This window comes from Homo sapiens, chromosome 2 (assembly GCF_000001405.40).
Source record: "Homo sapiens chromosome 2, GRCh38.p14 Primary Assembly".
NCBI lineage: Eukaryota > Metazoa > Chordata > Mammalia > Primates > Hominidae > Homo > Homo sapiens.
Genome location: NC_000002.12, coordinates 126,141,292 through 126,163,658, shown reverse-complemented (window position 1 = coordinate 126,163,658; position 22,367 = coordinate 126,141,292). Strand labels below are relative to the sequence as shown.

At 37.1% G+C, this 22,367-nt stretch overlaps 2 annotated features.

The window, feature by feature from the left end:
* Positions 1,578-2,077: an enhancer, noted in NCBI's record as "NANOG-H3K4me1 hESC enhancer chr2:126919159-126919658 (GRCh37/hg19 assembly coordinates)". NCBI's record gives its function as "activates a minimal SCP1, AML or CMV promoter by ChIP-STARR-seq in naive H9 embryonic stem cells {active_cell/tissue: H9 hESC(naive)}" and the evidence as "EXISTENCE:reporter gene assay evidence [ECO:0000049][PMID:30033119]".
* Positions 2,078-2,579: an enhancer, noted in NCBI's record as "NANOG-H3K4me1 hESC enhancer chr2:126918657-126919158 (GRCh37/hg19 assembly coordinates)". NCBI's record gives its function as "activates a minimal SCP1, AML or CMV promoter by ChIP-STARR-seq in naive H9 embryonic stem cells {active_cell/tissue: H9 hESC(naive)}" and the evidence as "EXISTENCE:reporter gene assay evidence [ECO:0000049][PMID:30033119]".

The window sequence follows — 22,367 nt, the reverse complement described above, 5'->3', positions numbered from 1 at the left end:
CCATGTAGTTGTGCAGTTTTGAGTGAGTTTCTTAATTCTGAGCTCTAATTTGATTGCACAGTGATCTGAGAGACTGTTTGCTATGATTTCCCTTCTTTTGCATTTGCTGAGGAGTGTTTTACTTCCAATTATGTGGTGAATTTTAGAATCAGTGCCATGTGTTGCTGAGAAGAATGTATATTCTGTTGATTTGGGGTGGAGAGTTATGTAGATGTCTATTAGGTGCACTTGATCCAGAGCTGAGTTCAAGTCCTGAATATTCTTGTTAATTTTCTGTCTCGTTGATCTGTCTAATATTGAGAGTGGGGTGTTAAAGTCTCCAACTATTATTGTGTGGGAGTCTAAGTCTCTTTGTAGGGCTCTAAGAACTTGCTTTATGAATCTGGGTGCTCCTGTATTGGGTGCATATATATTTAGGATAGTTAGCTCTTCTTGTTGCATTGATCCCTTTACCATAATGTAAACCTTTTTTTGTCTTTTTTGATCTTTGTTGGTTTAAAGTCTGTTTTATCAGAGACTAGGATTGCAACCCCTGCTTTTTATTGCTTTCCATTTTCCTGGTAAATATTCCTCCCTCCCTTTATTTTGAGCCCATGTGTTTCTTTGCATGTGAGATGGGTCTCCTGAATACAGCACACTGATAAGTCTTGACTTTTTGTCTGATTTGCCACTCTGTGTCTTTTAACTGGGACATTTAGCCCATTTACATTTAAGGTTAATATTGTTGTGTGTGAATTTGATCCTGTCATTATGATGCTAGCTGGTTATTTTGCCGGTTAGTTAATGCAGTTTCTTTATAGTGTTGATGGTCTTTACAATTTGGTATGTTTTTGCCGTGGCTAGTGCCAGTTGTTCCTTTCCATATTTAGTGCTTCCTTCAAGAGCTCTTGTAAGGTAGGCCCAATGGTGACAAAATCTCTCAGCATTTGCTAGTCTGTAAGGGATTTTATTTTTCCTTTGCTTATGAGCTCAGTTTGGCCGGATATGAAATTCTGGGTTGAAAATTCTTTTATTTAAGAATGTTGAATATTGGCCCCCACTCATTTCTGGCTTGTAGAGTTTCTGCTGAGAGATCCACTGAGAGAGGAAACCTGAGAGAGGAAACCTGCTGAGAGAGGAAACCTGACCTCTCTCTCTGGCTGCGCTTAACATTTTTTCCTTCATTTCAACCTTGGTAAATCTGATGATTATGTGTCTTGGAGTTGCTCTTCTCAAGGAGTATCTTTGTAGTATTCTCTGTATTTCCTGAATTTGAATGTTGGCCTGTCTTGTGAGGCTGGGGAAGTTCTCCTGGATAATATCCTGAAGAGTGTTTTCCAACTTGGTTCCATTCTCCCCGTCACTTTCAGTTGCACCAATCAAATGTAGTTTTGGTCTTTTCACATAGTCCCATATTTCTTGGAGGCTTTGTTTATTCCTTTTCATTCTTGTTTCTCTAATCTTGTCTTCATGCTTTATTTCATGAAGTTGGTCTTCAATCTCTGATATCCTTTCTTCTGCTTGATCGATTCAGATATTGATACTCGTGTATGCTTCACAAAGTTCTCGTGCTGTGTTTTTCAGCTTCATCAGGTCATTTATGTTCTTCTCTAAGCTGGTTATTCTAGTTAGCAATTCCTCTAACCTTTTTTCAAAGTTCTTAGCTTCCTTGCATTGGGTTAGAGCATGCTCCTTTAGCTTGGAGGAGTTTGTTTTTCCCCACCTTCTGAAGCCGATTTCTGTCAATTCATCAAACTCATTCTCCATCCAGTTTTGTTCCCTTGCTGGCGAGGAGTTGTGATGCTTTGGAGGAAAAGAGGTGTTCTGGTTTTTGGAATTTTCAGCCTTTTTGGGCTGGTTTTTCCTCATCTTCATGTATTTATGTACCTTTAGTCTTTGATGTTGGTGACTTTCAGGTGGGGTTTTTGTGTGGATGTCCTTTTTGTTGATGTTGATGCTATCCCTTTCTGTTTGTTAGCTTTTCTTCTAACAGTCAGGCCCCTCTGCTGCAGATCTGCTGGAGTTTCCTGGAGGTCCACTCCAGACCCTGTTTGCCTGGGTATCACCAGTGGAGGCTGCAGAACAGCAAAGATTACTGCCTGTACCTTCCTCTGGAAGCTTCATCCCAGAGAGGCACCCGCCAGGTGCCAGCCGGAGCTCTCCTATAAGAGGTGTCTGTCGACCCTTGCTAGGAGGTGTCTCCCAGTCAGGAGGCATGGGGGTCAGGGACCCACTTGAGGAGGCAGTCTGTCCCTTAGCAGAGTTCGAGTGTTGTGCTGGGAAATCCACTGCTCTCTTCAGAGCCAGCAGGCATGAATGTTTAAGGCTGCTGAAGCTGTGCCCACATCCACCCCTTCCCCCAGGTGCCCTGTCCCAGGAAGATAGGAGTTTTATCTTTAAGCCCTGACTGGGGCTGCTGCCTTTCTTTCAGGGATGCCCTGCCCAGAGAGGAGGAATCTAGAGAGGCAGTCTGGCTACAGTGGCTTTGCTGAGCTGTGGTTGGCTCCGCCCAGTCCGAACTTCCTGGTGGCTTTGTTTACATTGCGAGGAGAAAACTGCCTACTCAAGCCTCAGTAATGGTGGACACCCTTCCCCACACCAAGCTGGAGCATTCCAGGTCGACTTCAGACTGCTGTGCTGGCAGCAAGAATTTCAAGCCAGTGGATCTTAGCTTGCTTGGCTCTGTGGGGGTGGGATCTGCTGAGCTAGACCTCTTGGCTTTCTGGCTTCAGCCCCCTTTCCAGGAGAGTGAACAGTTCTGTGTTGCTGGCATTCCAGGTGCCACAAAATAAACTCCTGCAGCTAGCTCAGTGTCTGCCCAAATGCCCACCCAGTTTTGTGTTTGAAACCCAGGGCCCTGGTGGTATAGGCAGCGGAGGGAATTTCCTGGTTTTAGGTTGTGATGACCATGGGAAAAGCATAGTATCTGGGCTGGAATGCACTGTTCCTCATGGCACAGTCCCTCACAGCTTCCCTTGGCTAGGGTAGGGAATTCCCCAACCCCTTGTGCTTCCTGTGTGAGGTGACTCCCCATCCTGCTTCAGCTTGCCCTCCTGCACCTACTGTCTAAACAGTCCCAATGAGATGAGCCGGGTACCTCAACTGGAAATTCAGAAATCACCTGCCTTCTGTGTTGATCTCGCTGGGAGGTGCAGACTGGAGCTGTTCCTATTTGGCCATCTTGCCAGCCACCACAATTCTGATTTTTAAAATATTTTTTCCATGCTATATCTTAGATTCCTCTGTAATATTTTGTTTGAAATTTAAGTAACACTACAAAAAAATAAAAACACAGCTCTAAGGGACAAGTTGGTCATTTATAATATTAGGGTCAGGAGCTCAGAGAAAAATGTGAAACCTCTTTTACTGCTGTGCATATGTAACTACAGGTCTTAAGCTTTTTTCATTAATACATGTAAATGAATAAGGTACATGGAAATTAGAAGTGAATAGCATTTTTTGGACTGGAGACTGTGTTGTTTATAAATGTAATAGTGAACTACATAATAGCCTTCAGTCTAGGAATTCAGCATTCTGGTAAATGTCACAGAGCTCATTTGAATGTGAGTGACTAACACAAAATAAACAGCATTCTTTGCTTGGCATTAAAGGTAAAGAAAATAAAATCCAGGGTTAAATGCAACCACAACCCTCAGACAGGATTCATACAAAAATCAGGTTGCATTTTGCCTGAAAAATGGATTATTTGTAATTACAAAAAATACAGTGTTTGTAAATGACCTAGGCAAGATCTCTTGAGTTGGGTAATTATTCCCATTTTGCATTTTTCAATTTTATTTACTCCTGGCCCATTATTTAAATAAATGATAAAACCCTGTTTTTCCTCTCAGACAGTTTTAAAGTGGATTCTGTTTTTAAGCTTTTTTTTGTAATTATAATTATTTTACTTTTAATTTAAGTTCAGGGATATATGTGCATGTTTGTTTTATAGGTAAACTATGTGTCACAGGGGTTTGGTGTACAGATTATTCATCACCCAAGTAATCAGAAGAGTACCTGATAAGTAGTTTTTTGATCCTCATCCTCCTTCTACCCTCCACCCTCAAGTACACATATGCATATGTGTACTCAAAGTTTAGCTCCCACTTATGGTGAGAACATACAGAATTTGGTTTTCTGGTCCTGTGTTAGTTCACTTAGGATGATGGCCTCCAGCTCTTTTTATGAACACATGTACTGAATGTGTTATGAGCCAAGATAATTCATGTCTAAACTCCACAATATTTCTGCAAATCCCTCTTTTTTAATGGCAAAAAATAAACAGCACTATTATATGTAGTTTAAGTTTATCTGAATACCATATATATAAGGTTTTATATGTATATATTTTATAAATAATTTGAATAAATATAATGTATATGCACATATTTATATGCATGTTTCAGTATAATTATATATTTTTCTTACATGAGGGGCTGTTCCCCAGGGAACTGGACCACAGAGCCCTAGGATAAATGAGTAGATTGGAAAAAATCCTGACTCTGTTTCTAACTGGCTCTGAAACTTGAGATCCAACATAGAAAAGATTTTCATCCTTGCTAAACCAAAGTGAAGCACAGAGAGCACAGAAATGAGTTCCGATTGGAGTTTTAGCCTCTCATTCTAGAGTGACTCCTCTACTGAGTTTCAAGTGAGCTTCAGATGGGCAGAGATATTGATTGCATTCGTGTTCTGGCCTTTCGAGTGGCTGGACCCTGGCTGGCCTCCTTCTCCAAGGACAACTTTCTTCACTTATTATTGGGACAGTACACACAAAGTTTTCAGTGTATGCCAAAACATAAAAAGAGTTTAGGGTCAGGGAGCTGATCTAAATAATCAGCACCAAAGTAATCCTTTCCTAACTTCATCCGATTCAATCAATTATTGCTTATTAAACATATGTCAAACATTTTGCTAACATAATGAGTAAGGTCTAATCTAATCTTTTAAGAAGAACTTTGCTAATTGAGAGAGGCAGGCATAAACAGATACAGTATCTTGCAATCTGGGGGTGTTTTGCAGAGATAATAAGAAAATCGCGGTTAATATCCTAGAGAGTTACAGCATTGTTGCAAAGAGCTGGTTTTCAAACTTTGATTTGTAGGATGAAGGAGGAATTTGTTGGGCAAAATCACTGGGTAACAGCACATCAGACAATGGGTCTGGGGCAGCCACAGCAAATGGGGAAAGCTATATAGCAGGTTTGGAAGGGATGATGGTGTGTGTCATGAGGAGAAACTTCAAGAAGGTAGTTTTGATGTCTGCTTGCAGAGCAACTTGTATATCCAAGTGAAAAACATGGATTTTTGCCTTTTTGCTAACAGGAAGCCACCAAGGAATTTCAAACATGAAACTGATGATGTTGTTACTAAACCAGGCCCATTTTGCCTGCTGTGCAGTGTGCCAATCACTGAGATAACAAGTTTTACAGTGGTGGAGGTGTGTATTCATGTGGCAGCCAAACAAGGAGATGACAGAACAGGTCTCAAATCTACCTCTCCAAAGATGGGGTTTAGGGATATTTATGAGATAGAGGAGCAGGGTGATCTGAGGCATGGGGTAGGGTGATTGCAGGTTAGAAAAAATGAGGTAATCAGTGTTCTGCCCAAGGGTAGTTAAACTTTATAGCTCTTCGTAGGATGCGTGTTTGAAAAATGGCAGCATTAGCATGATCTGAGGGTGAAGCTTTCTGCCCTCTGACATCAAAAGGTCACCCATCATTCATCCAGGCCAAGTTGATAGATCAGTGGTCTCAGCTGGCATGAACTACTTAAGAGCTGACGCCGAGTTTCTGAAAAACAACTTAGGAAACCATCACCATTATTATCCATACTTCAGAGATGTTATCTATAGGGAAGCAGAAGGGAGTCTTGTGATACATTGCTTAGCTACATAACATTTAGACTTAGTGATATTACAAAACTATTAAACCAGCTAAAAGCAAGTGAAGCAGGTTAAAATTTGATGACCCTAATTATGTTTGCCCTCAGCTTCAATGTTTGGCTTATTTTGAAAGATAAAGTGTGTCATATGATTGCACTGAGTTAAAAAAAAATGGTTGCAGGATTGTTTATTTAACCAATATCTTTACATTCCTATTACGTAGATACTTTTCAGTGAACTAGGAATACAGTATTAAAAAAATAAGACTGAGACCTAATGACTAGACTATACTTGTGTTAAATGTAAAGACAAATATACATTAAAAGTAGAGACTGAAGAAAGATAATTATGCCAACACTAATTTTTAAAAAGCTGGTGTCGCTATATTAATTTCAGACAGAATAGACCTTAGAACAAAGAAAGTTGGAGGAATAAAGAGAAATATTAAATACCAATAAAGTAGTAAATTCTGAAACAAAATGTAGCAATTCTTTATGTGAAAGCCTTTAACATCAACATGTCAAAATGTTTTAGGCAAAAACTCAGAACTGCAAGGAGAAATAGATTAATCCAGTATTATTGTTGGAGACATCAACACCCCTCTATCAGAAATAGATAGATCCAGCAGGCAGGAAATCAGTAAGGACAGAGTTGAACTCAACACCATCAATCAACTGTATATAATTGAATAGTCTATAGACTACTTCCTTCAACAACAGCAGTGTGTACATTTTTCTCAAGCTCACATGGAACATTAAACTACATAGACCACATTCTTGCCCATAAAACACACCTTAACAAATTTAAAAGAATAGAAATCATAAAATGTATTCTCTCAGTCGACAATGGAATTAAACTAGAAATCAATAATAGAAGGATAGCTAGAAAAATTCCAAAAAGTTGGAGATTAAACGTCATACCTCTAAGTAACTTAAGAGTCAAAAAATAAGTATCAAAAAAATTCAAAAACTGTTTAACTAAAAAAATGAAAATACAACTTTCAAAATTTGTGAGATACAGAAAAATCAGTGGTAAGAGATAAATTTATAGCATTGAATGCACAGATTACAAAAGAAGACAGATATAAAATCAATGATTAAAGATTCCACTTTAGGAAACTAGAAAAAGAATTCTTTAATTATAGATGAAGTGGAAAAAAGACATAATAAAATTTTGAGTAGAATTAAATAAAATGGAAAAAAGAAATTAAAAAAATAGTAAGTGTACAAGGTAATGGATACACTAACTACTCTGAATCATTATATAATACAGATATGTATTGAAACGTCACACTGTATCCCATAAATATGAACACTTACAATATATCAATTTTAGAAAGAAGGAAGGAAGAAAAAAAGAAAAAGGGAAATCAACAAAAAGCTGATTATTTGAAAAGGTCAATAAAGTTGATAAACCTCTAGCTAGGATAACTAAGAAAAAATAAGAGACGATACAATTACGCACCTCAGAAATGAAAGAGAAGACATCACTATAGATTCCACTGCCATTAGAAGACAAATAAACAATACTATGAACAATTACATGCCCACAAATTTGATAACTTGGATGAAATAAACCAATTCCTTGAAAGACAACCTGCCAAAAGTTACACAAGAAGAAATAGACAGTCTGAGTAGAAGTTCATCTGTTAAATAAATTGAATCAATAGTAAATAACCTTTCAAAATGAAACATCAAGCATAGATGGGTTCACTGGTACACTCTACTGAACACTTAAAGACAAATTTATACCAATTCTCTATAATCACTCCCAGAAGATAAAAGCAGAAGTAATGCTTTCCAACTCATTCTATGAGATCAACACTACCCGAGTACCAAAACTGGAAAAAGACATACGAGAAAATTACAGACCAGTATCTCTCATAAACATTGGTGCAAAAATCCTCAACAAAATGTTAGAAAATTGAAGCCAACGGTATGTAAAAAGAATTACACCATGACCTAGAGGGATATATCCCAGCTATTCAAGGCTGATTCAATCTTAGAAAATAAATTCCTATAGTTCATCAAATCAATTGGAAAAATCACATATTCATGTTAATAGATGCAGAAGAAAGGATCTGACAAAATCATCAAAGACTTTTTTTTTCCAATTTGATCTGTGGATGCAATGTAATCTAAATTAAATCCTAACAATTTATTTCCTGGATACTAGCAAACCAATTCTAAAGTTTACGTGGAGATGCAAACTCAATATTGAAGGAGAAGAAAAAGAGACTATCTCATTTTAAGACTTACTATAAAGGTACAGTAATCAAGAGAGTATGGTATTAGTAAAAAATAGACAAATGGGTCATTGAAACAGAATAGAACTTTGAGAAATAAACTCTATAGATATAGTCAACTAATAATATATGATAAAGATACTTTGGATAAACCATGGTCATTTAAACAAATGATCTGGGACAGATCGACAAACTACAAGTTAAAAAAAGGAAGGGAAAAGGAAAAGAGAGAGGAAGAAAGGAAAGAAAGAAAGAGAAAAAAAGAAAGAAAGAAAGAAGAAAGAAAGATACAGACCTTATATACCTCAAAAAATTATCTCCAGAAGGATCATAGACTTAAATTTAAAATTCAAAGACATAAAACTCCTATAGTATAAAATAGGAGAAAATCTAGATAATTGTGGGTATGAAAATAACTTTTTAGATACAATACCAAAGGCATGATTCATGAAATAAATAATGTATAAGCTAGACTTCATTAAAATTAAAAATTTCTGCTCTGCTGAAGACATTATCAAGAGAATTAGAAGACAAACCATACACTGAGAAAATATATTTGCAAAAATATATCTAATAAACCACTGTCACCAAAAATACACAAAGAACTCTTAAAACTCAACAAGAAGAAAACATACAACACAATGAAAACATGGGAGAAAGATCTGAAGAGATACTTCACAAAAGAAGATTTACATATAGCAAATAAGCAGAAGAAAATATGCTGAACATCATATGTCACTAGGGAATTGCAAATTAAACAAATTAAACAAATACCACTACACACATATTAGAATAAAAAATGTCTAAAACACTAACACCACCAAATGCTGGCAAGGACATGGAACCACAAGAATAATCATTCATCGGTGTTGAGTATTTAAAATAGTACAGCCACTTTGAAAGACATTTTGGCAGTTTCTTTAAAAAACTAAACATAGTCTTACCATATGTCCAGCATTCTCACTTCTTGGTATTTACCCAAATAAATTGAAAACTTATGTCCACACCAAAACCTGCACATGGATGTTTATAGCAGGTTTATTCATAATTGCTAAAACTTGGAAGCAACCAAGATATCATTCAGCTGGTGAAAGAATGAATAAGCTCTTTCATACATAGACAATAGGGTATTATTTCATGCTGAAAAGAAATCACTAGCATTCCTAAACACCACCACCAACAGTCAAACTGAGAGCCAAATTAGGACCACAGTCCCATTTTCAATGGCCACAGAAATAATAAAATAGGAATACAGCTAATAAGAAAGGTAAAATATCTCTATAATGAGAACTACAAAACACTGCTCCAAGAAATTAGAGATGACACAAACAAATAAAAAAAATCCCATGCTCATGGATAGGAAATATCAACATCATGGAAATGGTCATACTGCCCAAAGCAATTAAGATTCAATGCTATTCCTATCAAAAACTACCAATGACATCCTTTACAGAACTAGGAAAAGCTATTTTAAAATTTATATGAAGCAGAAAAAGAGTCCTAATAGCCAAGGAAATTCTAAGCAGGAAGAAAAAACCTGGAAGCATCACACTACCTGATTTCGAACTGTACTAAAGAGCTACAGTAACCAAAACAGCATGGCACTAGTACAAAAAAAGGCACATAAACCAATGGAACAGAATAGAGAACCCAGAAATAATGTCACACATCTACAACCATCTGCTCTTTGACAAAGCTGACAAAAACAAGCAATTGGGAAAGGACTTCCTATTTAATAAAAGGTACTGTAATAACTGGCTAGCCATATGCAGAAGATTGAAACTGGGCTCCTTCCTCACACCATATACAAACATTAACTCAAAATGCATTAATTACTTAAATGTAAAACCCAAAACTATAAAAACCTTAGAAGACGACATAGGCAATACCCCTCTGGACATGGGAAAGGGCAAAAATATCATGACGAAGGCACCAAAAGCAAATGGAACAAAAGCAAAAATTGACAAATGGGATCTAATTCAGCTTATGAGCTTCTACACGGCAAAAGAAACTATCAACAAATTGAACAGACAACATACAGAATGGGAGAATATATTTGCACACTTTGCACACTATGCATCTTACAAAGGTCTAATATCCAGCATCTATAAAGGAACATAAATTTCCAAAAAAAGCAACCCCATTAAAAAGTGGACAAAGGACATGAACAGACACTTTTCAAAAGAAGACATACATGCAGCCAAAAATGAAAAAGATTGACATCACTGATTATTAGAGAAATGCAAATCAAACCCACAATGAGATATCACCTGCAGCAGTCAGAATGCCTACTATTAAAAAGTTAAAAAAGAACAGATGCTCGTAAGGTTGTGGATAAAAGAGAACACTTAAACATTGTTGGTGGGAGTGTAAATTGGCTTAATCATTGTGGAAAGTACTATGACAATTCCTCAAAGAGCTAAACAGAACTACCATCTGACCCAGCAATCCTATTACTGGGTATATACCCAGAGGGTATAAATCCTTCTACCATAAAGACACATGCACGCTGTGCTCATATGTTCATTGCAGCAGAATTCACCATAGCAAAGACATGGAATAAACCTACATACCCATCAATGACAGATTGAATAAAGAAAATGTAGTACATATACACCATGGAATACTATGCAGCCATAAAAAAAACAAAATTCTGTGTCTTGTGGGAATATTGATGGAACTGAAGCTCATTATTTTTAGCAAACTAATGCAGCAACAGAAAACCAAATGTTGCATGTTCTCACTTATAAGTGGGAACTAAAGGATGAGAACACATGGATACAAAGAAGGGAACAACAGACACTGTGGCCTACTTGAGGGTTGAGGTTGGGAGGAGGAAGAGGAGCAAAAACATAACTGTTGAACACTAGGCTTAGTAACTGAGTGATAAAATCATCTGTAAAACAAACCCCTGTGACCCAAGTTTACCTATATAACAAATATGCACATGTACCCTGAACCTAAAATAAAAGTTAAAATTAAAAAAAAGAAATAAAATATCAAGCCATGAAAAGACATAGAGGGAACTTAAATTCATACTGCTAAGTGGAAAAAGCCAATTGGAAAAGTCTACATACTGTATGATTCCAACTAAATGACATTCTGGAAAAGGCAAAGCTATGGTTAAATGGTTTGGCTCTATGTCCCCACTTAAATCTCTCCTTGAATTGTAATCTCTGTAATCCCCACATGTCAAGGGTGGGACCAGGTGGAGGTAATTGAATCATAGCGGCGGTTTACCCTATGCTGTTTTCATGATAATCAGTGAGTCTCATGAAATCTGATTTTTTTAAGCATCTGGCATTTCCCCTGCTTACACTCATTTTCTCTCCTGGTGCCATATGAAGAAAAACATGTTTGCTTCCCCTTCCACCATGATTGTAAGCTTCCTGAGGCCTCCAGGCCATGTGAAACTGTGAGTCAATCAAACCTGTTTTCTTTATAAATTACTCATTCTCAGGTATTTCTTCATAGCAGCGTGAGAACAGACTAATAGAGTAAATTGGTACCAGAAATGGGGTATTACTTTAAATACCTGAAAATGTGGAAACAACTTTGGAACTGGGTAAGAGGCAGAGGTTGGAACAGTTCAAAAGGCTCAGAAGAAGACAGGAAGATGTGGTAAAGTTTGGAACTTCCTAGAGACTTGTTGAATGGCTTTGACCAAAATGCTGATAGTGATATGGACAATTAAGTCCAGGCTGAGGCGGTCTCAGATGGAGATATGGAACATATCGGGAACTGGAGCAAAGGTGACTCTTGCTATGCTTTAGCAAAGAGACTGGTGGCATTTTGCCCCTGCCCTAGGGATCTATGGAACTTTTAACTTGAGAGAGATGATTTAGGATATTTGGTAGAAGAAATTTCAATGCAGCAAAGCATTCAAGAAGTAGAACATAAACATTTGCAGCCTGATGATGTGATAAAAAAGAAAAACCCATTTTCTAAGGAGAAATTCAAGCCTGTTGCAGAAATTTGCATAAGTAATGAGGAGCCAAATGTTATTCAGCAAGAATTGGAGAAAATGTCTCCAGGGCATATCAGGGACCTCCACAGCAGCCCCTCCCATTACAGGCCCAAATGCTTAGGAAAGAAAAACAGTTTTGTGAGCTAGACCCAGGGCCCCTCTACTCTGTGCATCCTTGGGACATTTTGCCCAGCGTCTCAGCTGCTTCAGCTCTAGCCATGGCTAAAAGGGGCCAAAGTAAAGCTTGGGCAATTGCTTCAGAGGGGCAAGCCCCAAACCTTGGCAGCTTGCATGTGATGTTGGGCCTGTGGGTGCACAGAAGTCAAGAATTGAGGTTGGGGAGCCTTCACCTGGATTTCAGAGGATGTGTAAGTGCCTGGATGCCCAGACAGAAGTTTGCTGCAGGGGTGGAGCCTTCATGGAGAACCTCTGCTAGGGCAGTGGCAAAGGGAAATGTGGGGTCAGAGACCCCACACAGAGTCCCCATTGGGGCACTCCCTAGTGGAGCTGTGAGAAGAGGGCCATCATTCTCCAGACCCCAGAATGGTAGATCCACCAATAGCTTGCACCATGTGCCTGGAAAAGTTGCAGACACTCAACAACAGCCTGTGAATCATCCAGGAGGTGGGCTGTACTCAAGAAAGCCACAGAGTCAGAGGTGCCTAAGCCATGGGAGCCCACCTCTTACATCAATGTGGACTTGATGTGAGACATGGAGTCAAAGGAGATAATTTTGGAACTTTAATGTTTAATAACTGCCCTATTGAATTTCAGACTTATATGGGGCCTGTAGCCCCTTCACTTTGGCCAATTTCATCTATTTGGAATGAGTGTATTTACCCAATGCCTGTACTCTCATTGTATCTAGGAAGTAATTTGCTTTTGATTTTACAGGTTCGTAGGTGGAAGGAACTTGCCTTGTCACAGATGAAACTTTGGACTTGGACCTTTGGGTTAATGCTGGAATGAGTTAAGACTTTGGGGGACTGTTGGAAGGGCATAATTGTGTTTTGAAATGTAAGGACATGAGATTTGGGAGGGACCAGGGGCTGAATATTATAGTTTGACTCTGTGTTCCTACCGAAATCTCACCTTTAATTGTGGTCTCTGTAATTCCCACATGTCAAGGGCATAGCCAGGTGGAGGTTATTGAATCATGGGGTGGTTTCCTTCATGCTGTTCTTGTCATAATCAATGAGTCTCATGAACTCTGATGGTTTTAAAAGTATTGGGCATTTCTCCTGCTTGCACTCATTCTCTCTCCTGCCACCATGTGAAGAAGGATGGTTTGCTTCCCCTTCCACCATGATTGTAAGTTTCCTGGAGCCTCTCAATCATGTGGAACTGTGAGTCAGTTAAACCACTTTTATTTATAGATTACCCAGCCTTGAGTTTTTTGTCATAGCAGCACGAGAACAGACTAATTCATATGGAGACAGTAAAATTATCATTAGTGTCAGGAGTTAGGGATAAATCTGTGGAGCACCAAGAATTTTTACGATATACATAGACTATTCTGTTTGATACTATAATGGTGGATACCTGTCACTATGCATTTGTCTAACCCATTGAATGTACAATACCACAAATGAACCTTATAAACTGGACTTTGGGTGAGACTGACATGTCAACATAGGTGCACCAATTTTAACAAATGTACTACTCTGGTGAGGGAAGGTGATAGTCGGAATGTGGTATGGGTGTAGGTGGGGGCAGAGGGATATTTGGGAATACCTCGTACCTTTGGCTTAATTGTGCTGTGAACCTAAAGTTGCTTTAAAATAAAGTCTATTTTAAAAAGTACTATGTAATATATTGGAATGTGATAAGTGCCACTAAGAGTAAGATGAATAGTAAAATAATTCAAGGAAGGCAGGATGAGAATGTGGGAGTTATGATTTTAGCTTGATTTTTCAGGTAAGATGGTGGGCTCCACATCCAGACAGGAGACCATATGCAAGACCCAGAATGTGTGATAAGGGACAAGTTATACAGGGCTTTGGAGGTATCTGAAAGGAGTTTCTAAGAGCACAGGGAGCTATTGGAGCATCAGGTAAAATGTTCTTAAAACTAATTCAAATAAGAGAGGAAGAAACTCTTGATTAAGACACTGGCAAGGGAGGTAACTAGTTGGAGAAGAGATGCATGAGGAGTTTTAAAGAAAGAATGGCCGAGTGTACCACTCAGTTTCTTAGCCAGGGCAGATTAATAAGTGCAAAGGAGAAGGTAGGAAAGGCAATATGTAGACTAAAAATCAGTGCTCACAGCTAGAAGGGAATAGTAGACTACAGCTTGTCTAGGCTGAGGCTTTCAGAATATAAACTATATCACTATCCTTATTGAACAGGACACCAGACAGGTGCAGTGTGATTAAGTGACATACAGCACAAATCTGTTTAATTGAAGTTTACTGAGTAAGTGCCCTTAATATACTGCAAAGTAAAATCTAATTAAGCACGGAGGCCAATAGCAATTTTAAAGCCACAAATTGTATTTAACCAATTATTGAGATAACAGGGACTAATCCTATCATCTTATTAAATAATATTTTGAAAGCAAGGGGCCAATTCTTGTTCCCCTTTCTTTTGGAATTGGTTATTGGAGAACAATGAGAAGAAAGTCATAAGCCATTTTGATATTTCAAACACTTTTAAAGTAATTTTTGATTAGCTTTTTAGTGAATTTTGTGGCCTTCTGTTTAGGCTGGATTTAATGAGAATGCTACTTACATATGCATCAAATATATGTATATTGCATTTTTTTGTACTTTGTATTAGTTTCCTATTGCTGAAGTAACAAGTTGCCATACATTTGCCAGCTTTAAAGAACACAAATTTATTACTTTACAACTCTAGAGGCCATAAGTGTGAAAACATCTTCACCAGGATAAAGTCAAGGTGTTGGCAGGGCTTGTTCCCCCTGGAGGTTCTAAGAGAGAATCTGTTCCCTTGCCTTTTCCAGCTTTGGAGGCCACCTGCATTCATTGTGGGTTCAGACCCTTTCCTTACATAACTACAACCTCTTACATTTGTCACCATATCTCCTACGTCCTCTGCTATAGTAAAACATCTTTCTGCCACCCTCTTACAAGAACATTTGTGATTATATTCAGCACCAACCCAAATAATTCAGGATTTTCTTTGTATCCCCAAATCCTTAAAATAATCACCTCTGCAAAGTACCTTTTCCATATAAAGTAATAGTCACAGGTTCTGGGTATGAGGATGTGAATACCTTTGATAGACGACAGTCCAGCATGCCATACATGCTATTTACTGTATACCACTTCATGGATTAGAAAGGCAGTTTATTATAGTAAAATAGAGTGCAATTTAGAATAAGAAGCAGATTGACTCTAGTACAAGCTCCACTACATAATCACCTTTTGATCTTGGGCAGTTCCTAACTTTAACTTCAGACTTTCTGGAAGAGTCTGGAAGCTGGGAAATAAAGGTAATACCTTGTAGAGTATTTTAATATGAAGAAAGAATAATTGTAACAGCATCCATTAATTAAACCTATTATAAACCTGGACCAACCACTGAAGTTACAACTGTAATTGTACAGACCGATTATCATGCTCACAGAGAAGATAACTGAGCAGGGGAACAGACATTGAAATAAGCAAGAATGCTAACAGTGATGACTACAGGGACGGCAGAAAGATATATTCATGTGACAGTAAGCTGTGTAACATCAAAACAATCAATCTTGGACCACTTCCAAGAAGAGTGAGCTCCAAACTAAGATCAGCATTATGAGAAGGAGTTAGCAAGTCAGAGGAGAGTAAGTGTCTTTCAGGCAGAATGTTCCAAAGCTTAGGAAAAAAGAGAGGGGGTGGAGAACAAAAACTTGAGAAACTGAAAATATATTTTTTTCTGTAAATGTATCATGAAATTAATAAGACATAAAGCAAAAGAGGAATTTAAAAAATTAAACAGCATCAAGATCCGGACAGGCCAGATCAATTATGTTTGAGCTTTATCCTCAGAACCTTGTAAACAGACTAATGTTTTCAAGGTCCAGGATGACGATACTAGACTCTAATACAAGGTGCTACAGAAAGATCCATGGACAGCACCAAGGAATGAATGGGGTGATCATGCCCTGGGGGTCACAGCACCTTGAGAGTAAGAATTCTGTTGATATTAAACAGTTAGAACGGGCCGGGCATGGTGGCTCATGCCTGTAATTCCAGCACTTTGGGAAGCCAAGGTGGGCGGATCACGAGGCCAGGAGATCGAGACCCTCCTGGTTAACACGGTGAAACTCTATCTCTACTGAAAATACAAAAACTTAGCTGGGCGTGGTGGCGGGTGCCTGTAATCCCAGCTACTTGGGAGGCAGAGGTTGCAGTGAGCAGAGATCGAAACACAGCACTCCAGCCTGGGTGACAGAGCGAGACTCCATCTCACACACACACAAAAAAAAGAGTTAGAATGGATAGGACTTGAAGGACATTGAGAGATAAGTGAGAAGTAGTAGTTAGAAAAATGTCAGCTTCTTCTCTTGGAGAAATGTTAATGCCAAGCTTGGAGATATTGGAGATAGGTGACAAGGGGATAAGGGGAGTTTGGGCATGTACATAGGGACAGAAGGGAGTGGTGGTGAGCTCTCACCCTTGAATATGTTTGGATTGAGATTCTTTTGAAAAATCCATGTAGCGTGCTCTATGGCAACACTGTTCAAAGTAGCCAGCTGTGAGCAGAGTCTATCGAAATTTCTTCATCATATTTTGGTAGAAGTGTTGTGAGTCACAGGGATGAGGAATGTATCAAGTAGCTACTGACTGTGGAAGGTGATGTGTGAATGCTGGTTTAAGGGTAGGTTAGGAAGAGAAAAGACGTAAACTTTCATGAAAAAGTACCACATGTGAGCCCAACTACAGGAATAAAGAGAGTCTGGCTTCTACCACATAGTTTGTGAGCTTCGGAATTCTTGGAGAAAAACTGAGAAAATAAACATCCTCCTCAGGTGAGTTCCCTGGGTAAGAGAGGTAGGAGAAAAAGACATTGAAGTAGTCTCTCCGAATGTAAAATATAGAGTTGCACAGTCAGGCTAAAGCTGTTTTTTCATCTGTGCTCTTTCATTCTTTCTGATCACACACACAGAGACACACACAACCTAGATGTTAGTTGCTAATGGTCTTGAACTCCTCTGGGATTCTGGCACCTTTTGTTTCCAACAAGAAAGTGTGATCTTTTTAGGCAAATACCTTGCCCGGGCCACAGGATGGGGAAGCTCAGTAGAAGACAGAGCAGACACTGGAGACTATGCTGTACAGCCTGAAATCAAGAGCATCCAATGTGAATCAGACTGACTTTGTCAGAAATGGGATGATGGATTACCATGCAATTGACTGTTGTGACAGTGGAAAAACTAAAATCAGCTTCTGAATACTCAATTACAGGAGGGACACATAAACAGAGGCAGGCAGCAGAAACTAAGGATTCAATTTCCTTGAATTCCTCTGCCTGATTTTCATTACACCCACTCTAATTTATTTGGGGCCTCAGGCTTGAGTACTCAGCCTTTCTTGATTTTCATGCATAAATGACATTTTCTTAGTTTCTACCTCACCTCCCTTCCTTTGTCATTTCCTAATGGGCTCTGTTCTGACCATGCTCAGCCTGGGGTGGCAGTGTGGCCCTGTGGGCTGCTGAGTGCCTTGAGCTTGGTTAATTACCATAAATGTATTTTAAGTAATTATCCAAGGAAGAAATGCCAGCACCTACCATGGGAACCACCAGTAGGTGAAAATTAGCAGCTCCTTAACAACAGCCTCCAGTCAAATTTGATCAGGAATATTGGGCTCTGTCCCTCTAACGAAACCAGCTAGTACACATAAAGAGGCCCTTGCCACTGTTTTACAAAACCAAAATCTATAAATCAATAAATCAATAATTATCAGCCCAGATAATTATAGCTTTCCTTTGTTGTTGAAAAAGCAAAAATTGTTTCTGTCACCTCCCTATAAGCTTCTTTAGTGACAAAAAGCACATGTCAAGAAAATCTAATTGATCTTATTATGTCAAAAACAATTCTTATTAAGGGACTGAACAGATCAGAGCTTTTAGAAAGAGCTCATGATCAAAGCCCAGGATAGAACACACTGGTTAGAGCCATGGTTACTCACATGCCCAGAAATATCAGAAATATCAAGGCCAGGTGTATTTTTAATAAAAAGAACAATATAACAGCTAAAGTTTATTGCCTAATTATTATAAATTATTCTGATAAAAACTCAATTTTTAATTTGTAAATGAAAACTTAGAGAGATAAAAATTAACCTAAATTAATCCATACAGAGCAAGAGTTTGAAAACAGGTCTTCTAAGTGGAGCACCTGCACATTCAAGCAGGATCTTGATCTTTGAGTAGAAGCACTGGGCTCACCCTGGGTCCCTGCGATCCTCCCATGGCTTGCTCTTATCCTTCCTTCCACTAAATCAGGATGTCTCATGGACTTTTGAACAGTGAGTGCAGAGTGAAATGCATTAAGTTTTCAATAAGCTATCCTTGATTTCATATGTAGACCTTGCCACTTACTGTAGCCTCACTTTCTTAGTCAATACCATAGAATAATATTATTTCTCTAAAAAGGTCTACAAGAGAACATAGCATGTTGAGTTGATCCGTACCCCTTAAGAAAGGAAAGATCGTTTGTGTCTCTGTCTGGCTTACTATGTTTTTTCCTCTGCATCCCATAGTATCGCTGCACCATACAACAGTTTTTAATCTATCCTTCTCTTCTCCATTAAAATATGCTCTAACAAAATTATTTTCCATCAGTAACTTGATGGAAAATCTAGTTGCTAAGTTGATGAAAAGAAGCTCATTATCTTATTCTTCAAACAGCTCATTTTTTGCTTCGAATGTATCTATTAGGAATTTAATCACCTTATTTAGCTGAAGCATTCAATTTTAAAACTTTCATTTGTTTGGACAAACATTCTTACTCTTTAATGACCCCATTACCTATTTGAAAACACACTGAGTGCCACTACAACTATTAACTACACTAGGCTAAATGATGCCAAGTTTTTTTAGCCACTGAACTTCAGGGGACGTGTGTGTGTGTGTGTGTGTGTGTGTGTGTGTGTGTGTGTAAACATGTATATGTAAGGGTTTGAATGAAAAATTTTAAGCAAACTTAAACATAGCAAAAACAGTATGATATATACACATGGTAGCCATCACTCAATTTCCAAAATTATCTACATTTTATCAAATAATTTTTCACTAGAATAGCATATCATCTTGCTCTATTCCTCTCAGTCTTCCTCTGTTAAAAAATAATGGTACTCTGACATACTGAAGAATGCATCAGAGTCTCTTAACAGCAGAATTGATCAAGCAGAAGAAAGAATTAGTGAGCTTGAAACAGGCTATTTGAAAATATCACTCAAATGAGACAAAAGAAAAAGGAAAAGAATAAAGCATGCCTATAATATCTAGAAAATAGCCCCAAAAAGCAAACCTAAGAGTCACTGGACTTAAAGAAGAGGTAGAGAGAGAGCTATGGGTAGAAAGTGTATTCAAAGACATAATAACAGAGAACTTCCTAAACCTAGAGAAAGATAGAAAGATATCAATATTCAAGTACAAGAAAATTATAAAACACTAAGCAGGTTTAACCCAAATAAGACTACCTGAGGACCTTTTTTTATACAAATTCTCAAAGGCCAAGGAAAATAAAAGGATCCTTAAAGCAGCAAGAGAAAAGAAACAACTAATATACAATGAAGCAACAATACGCCAGATAGCAGACTGTGCAGTGGAAACATATGCCAGAGTGAGTGGCATGACATATTTAAAATGCTGAAGAAAAAATAATCCTATAATAGTATATTCAAACAGCAAAAAAAAGGCTATTTGACGAATAAGATAATGAGCTTCCTGTCATCAACTTAACAACTAGATTTTCCACTAAGTTACTAATATAAAATAATTTTGTTAGAGCATATTTTAATAGAGAGGAAAGGGATGGATTAAAAAGTATTATATATTGCAGTCATATGATGGAATGTTCTTCAAATATAAATAAGAAATAAAGACTTTCCTAGAAACACAAAAGCTGAGGTATTTTAGCAACACCAGACCTGTCTCGAAAGAAATGCTAAAGGGAGTTCTTCAATATGAAAGAAAAGGGTGTTAATAAGCAAGAAGAAATCATCTGAAGGTACAAATCTCACTGGTAATAGTAGGTACAGAGAAAAACACAGAATATAATAACATTGTAATTGTGGTGTGTAGACCACTCTTTAATAGAAAGACATCAAGATGAAGTGACAAAAATAGCTATAATAATTTTTTAAAACATAGACAATACAATAAGATATAGATAGAAACAACAAAAACTGAAAAAGGATGGAGATGAAGTTAAATTGTATAATTTTTATTAGTTTTCTCTTTGCTTGTCTGTTTATGCAATCGGTGTTACATTGTCATCAGTTTAAAATAATGAATTATAAGATATTATTGGTAAGCCTTATGATAACATCAAGTCAAAAAACATAGAACAGATACACAAAAAATGAAAAGAAAGAAATTAAAATATATCACCTGAAAAAGTCATCTTCACTAAAATGAAAAAAAGAAGGAATGAAAGAAAGAAGATAAGATTACAAAATAACCAGAAAACAAATAACAAAATATAGTATTTGCTTATCAGTAACAACACTGAATGGAAATGGACTAACTTCCTCAACAAAAGACATAGAGTGACTACGTAAATGAAAGAAACAAGAACCAATGATCTGTTCCTTACAAGAAACACACTTCTAAAAAGATACACATATACTGAAAATAAAAGGAATGAAAAAGATATTCCATGAGAATGCAAACAAAAAATGGCCAGAGTAGCTATATTTAAATCAGACAAAATAGATTTCAAGAAAACTATAAAAAGAGAAGAAGAAAGTTAGTATATAATGATACATTTGTAATTAAGCAAGAGACTGTAAAAATTATAAATATATATACACTCAGCACTATATATATATATATTATATATATATAATATATATATATTATGTATATAATATATATATAATATATATATATATATTATATATATATATATATGGCAAATGTTATTAGAGCTAAAGAGAGGGATGGACCCCATTACAATAATAGCTGGAGACTTCAACATACCACTTTCAGCAATGGACAGATCATCCTGACCAAAAAATCAACAAAGAAATATTGGACTTAATCTGCACTATGGATCAAATGGACCTAAAAGATATTTACAGACCATTTCATCCAATGGCTGCAGAATACACATTCTTCTCCTCAAAACATGGATCATTCTCAAAAATAGACCATATGTCAAGCCACAAAACACATCTTAAAAGATTCAAAAGAATTGAAATTATATAAAGCATCTTCTTTGACCATAATGGCATAAAATCAGAAATCAATAATAAGAGGAATTTTGGAATATTGTTCACTTTCATGGAAATTAAACTATATGTTCCTGAATGACCAGTGAGTCAATGAAGAAATTAAAAAGTAAATTTAAAAATTTCTTGAAACAAATGATCATGGAAGCATAATATACCAAAACCTGTGAGGTACAGCAAAAGCAGTGCTAAGAGGAAAATTTATAGCTATCATTGCCTACATTGGAATAGTAGAAAAACTTCAACTAAATAATCTAATATTACATCTTCAAGAATTAGGAAAGCAGGAGCAAACAAAACCCAAAATTAGTAGAATAATATAAATAATAAACCTCAGAGCAGAAATAAATGAAATTCAAACAAAGCAATACGAAAGATCCACAAAACAAAAAGTTGGTGTTTTGAGAAGACAAACAATATCAGCAAACAGCCAAACTGACTAGAAAAAAAAAGGTCTAAATGAATAAAATCAGACATGAAAAATGAGACATTACAACAAATACTACAGAAATTCAAAAGATCATTAGAGGTCACTATGAATAATTATATGCCAATAAATTGAAAAACCTTTATAAAATGGACACATTTGTAGACACATCCAACCTACCAAGATTCAATCATGAAGAAATCCAAAACCTGGACAAACCAATAACAAGTAACAAGATTAAAGCTATAAAAAAAAGTCTCCCAGCAAAGAAAAGCCTGGGGCCCAATGGCTTCACTGTTGAATTTTACCAAACATTTAAAGAAGAAATAATACCAATTTTACTCAAACTATTTCAAAAAATAGAGAAGGAGGAAATACTTACAAACCCATTCAATGAGGCCAGTACTACCCAGATACCCAAACCATAAAAAGGCCTAAAAAAAAAGGAACAAAAGGAAAA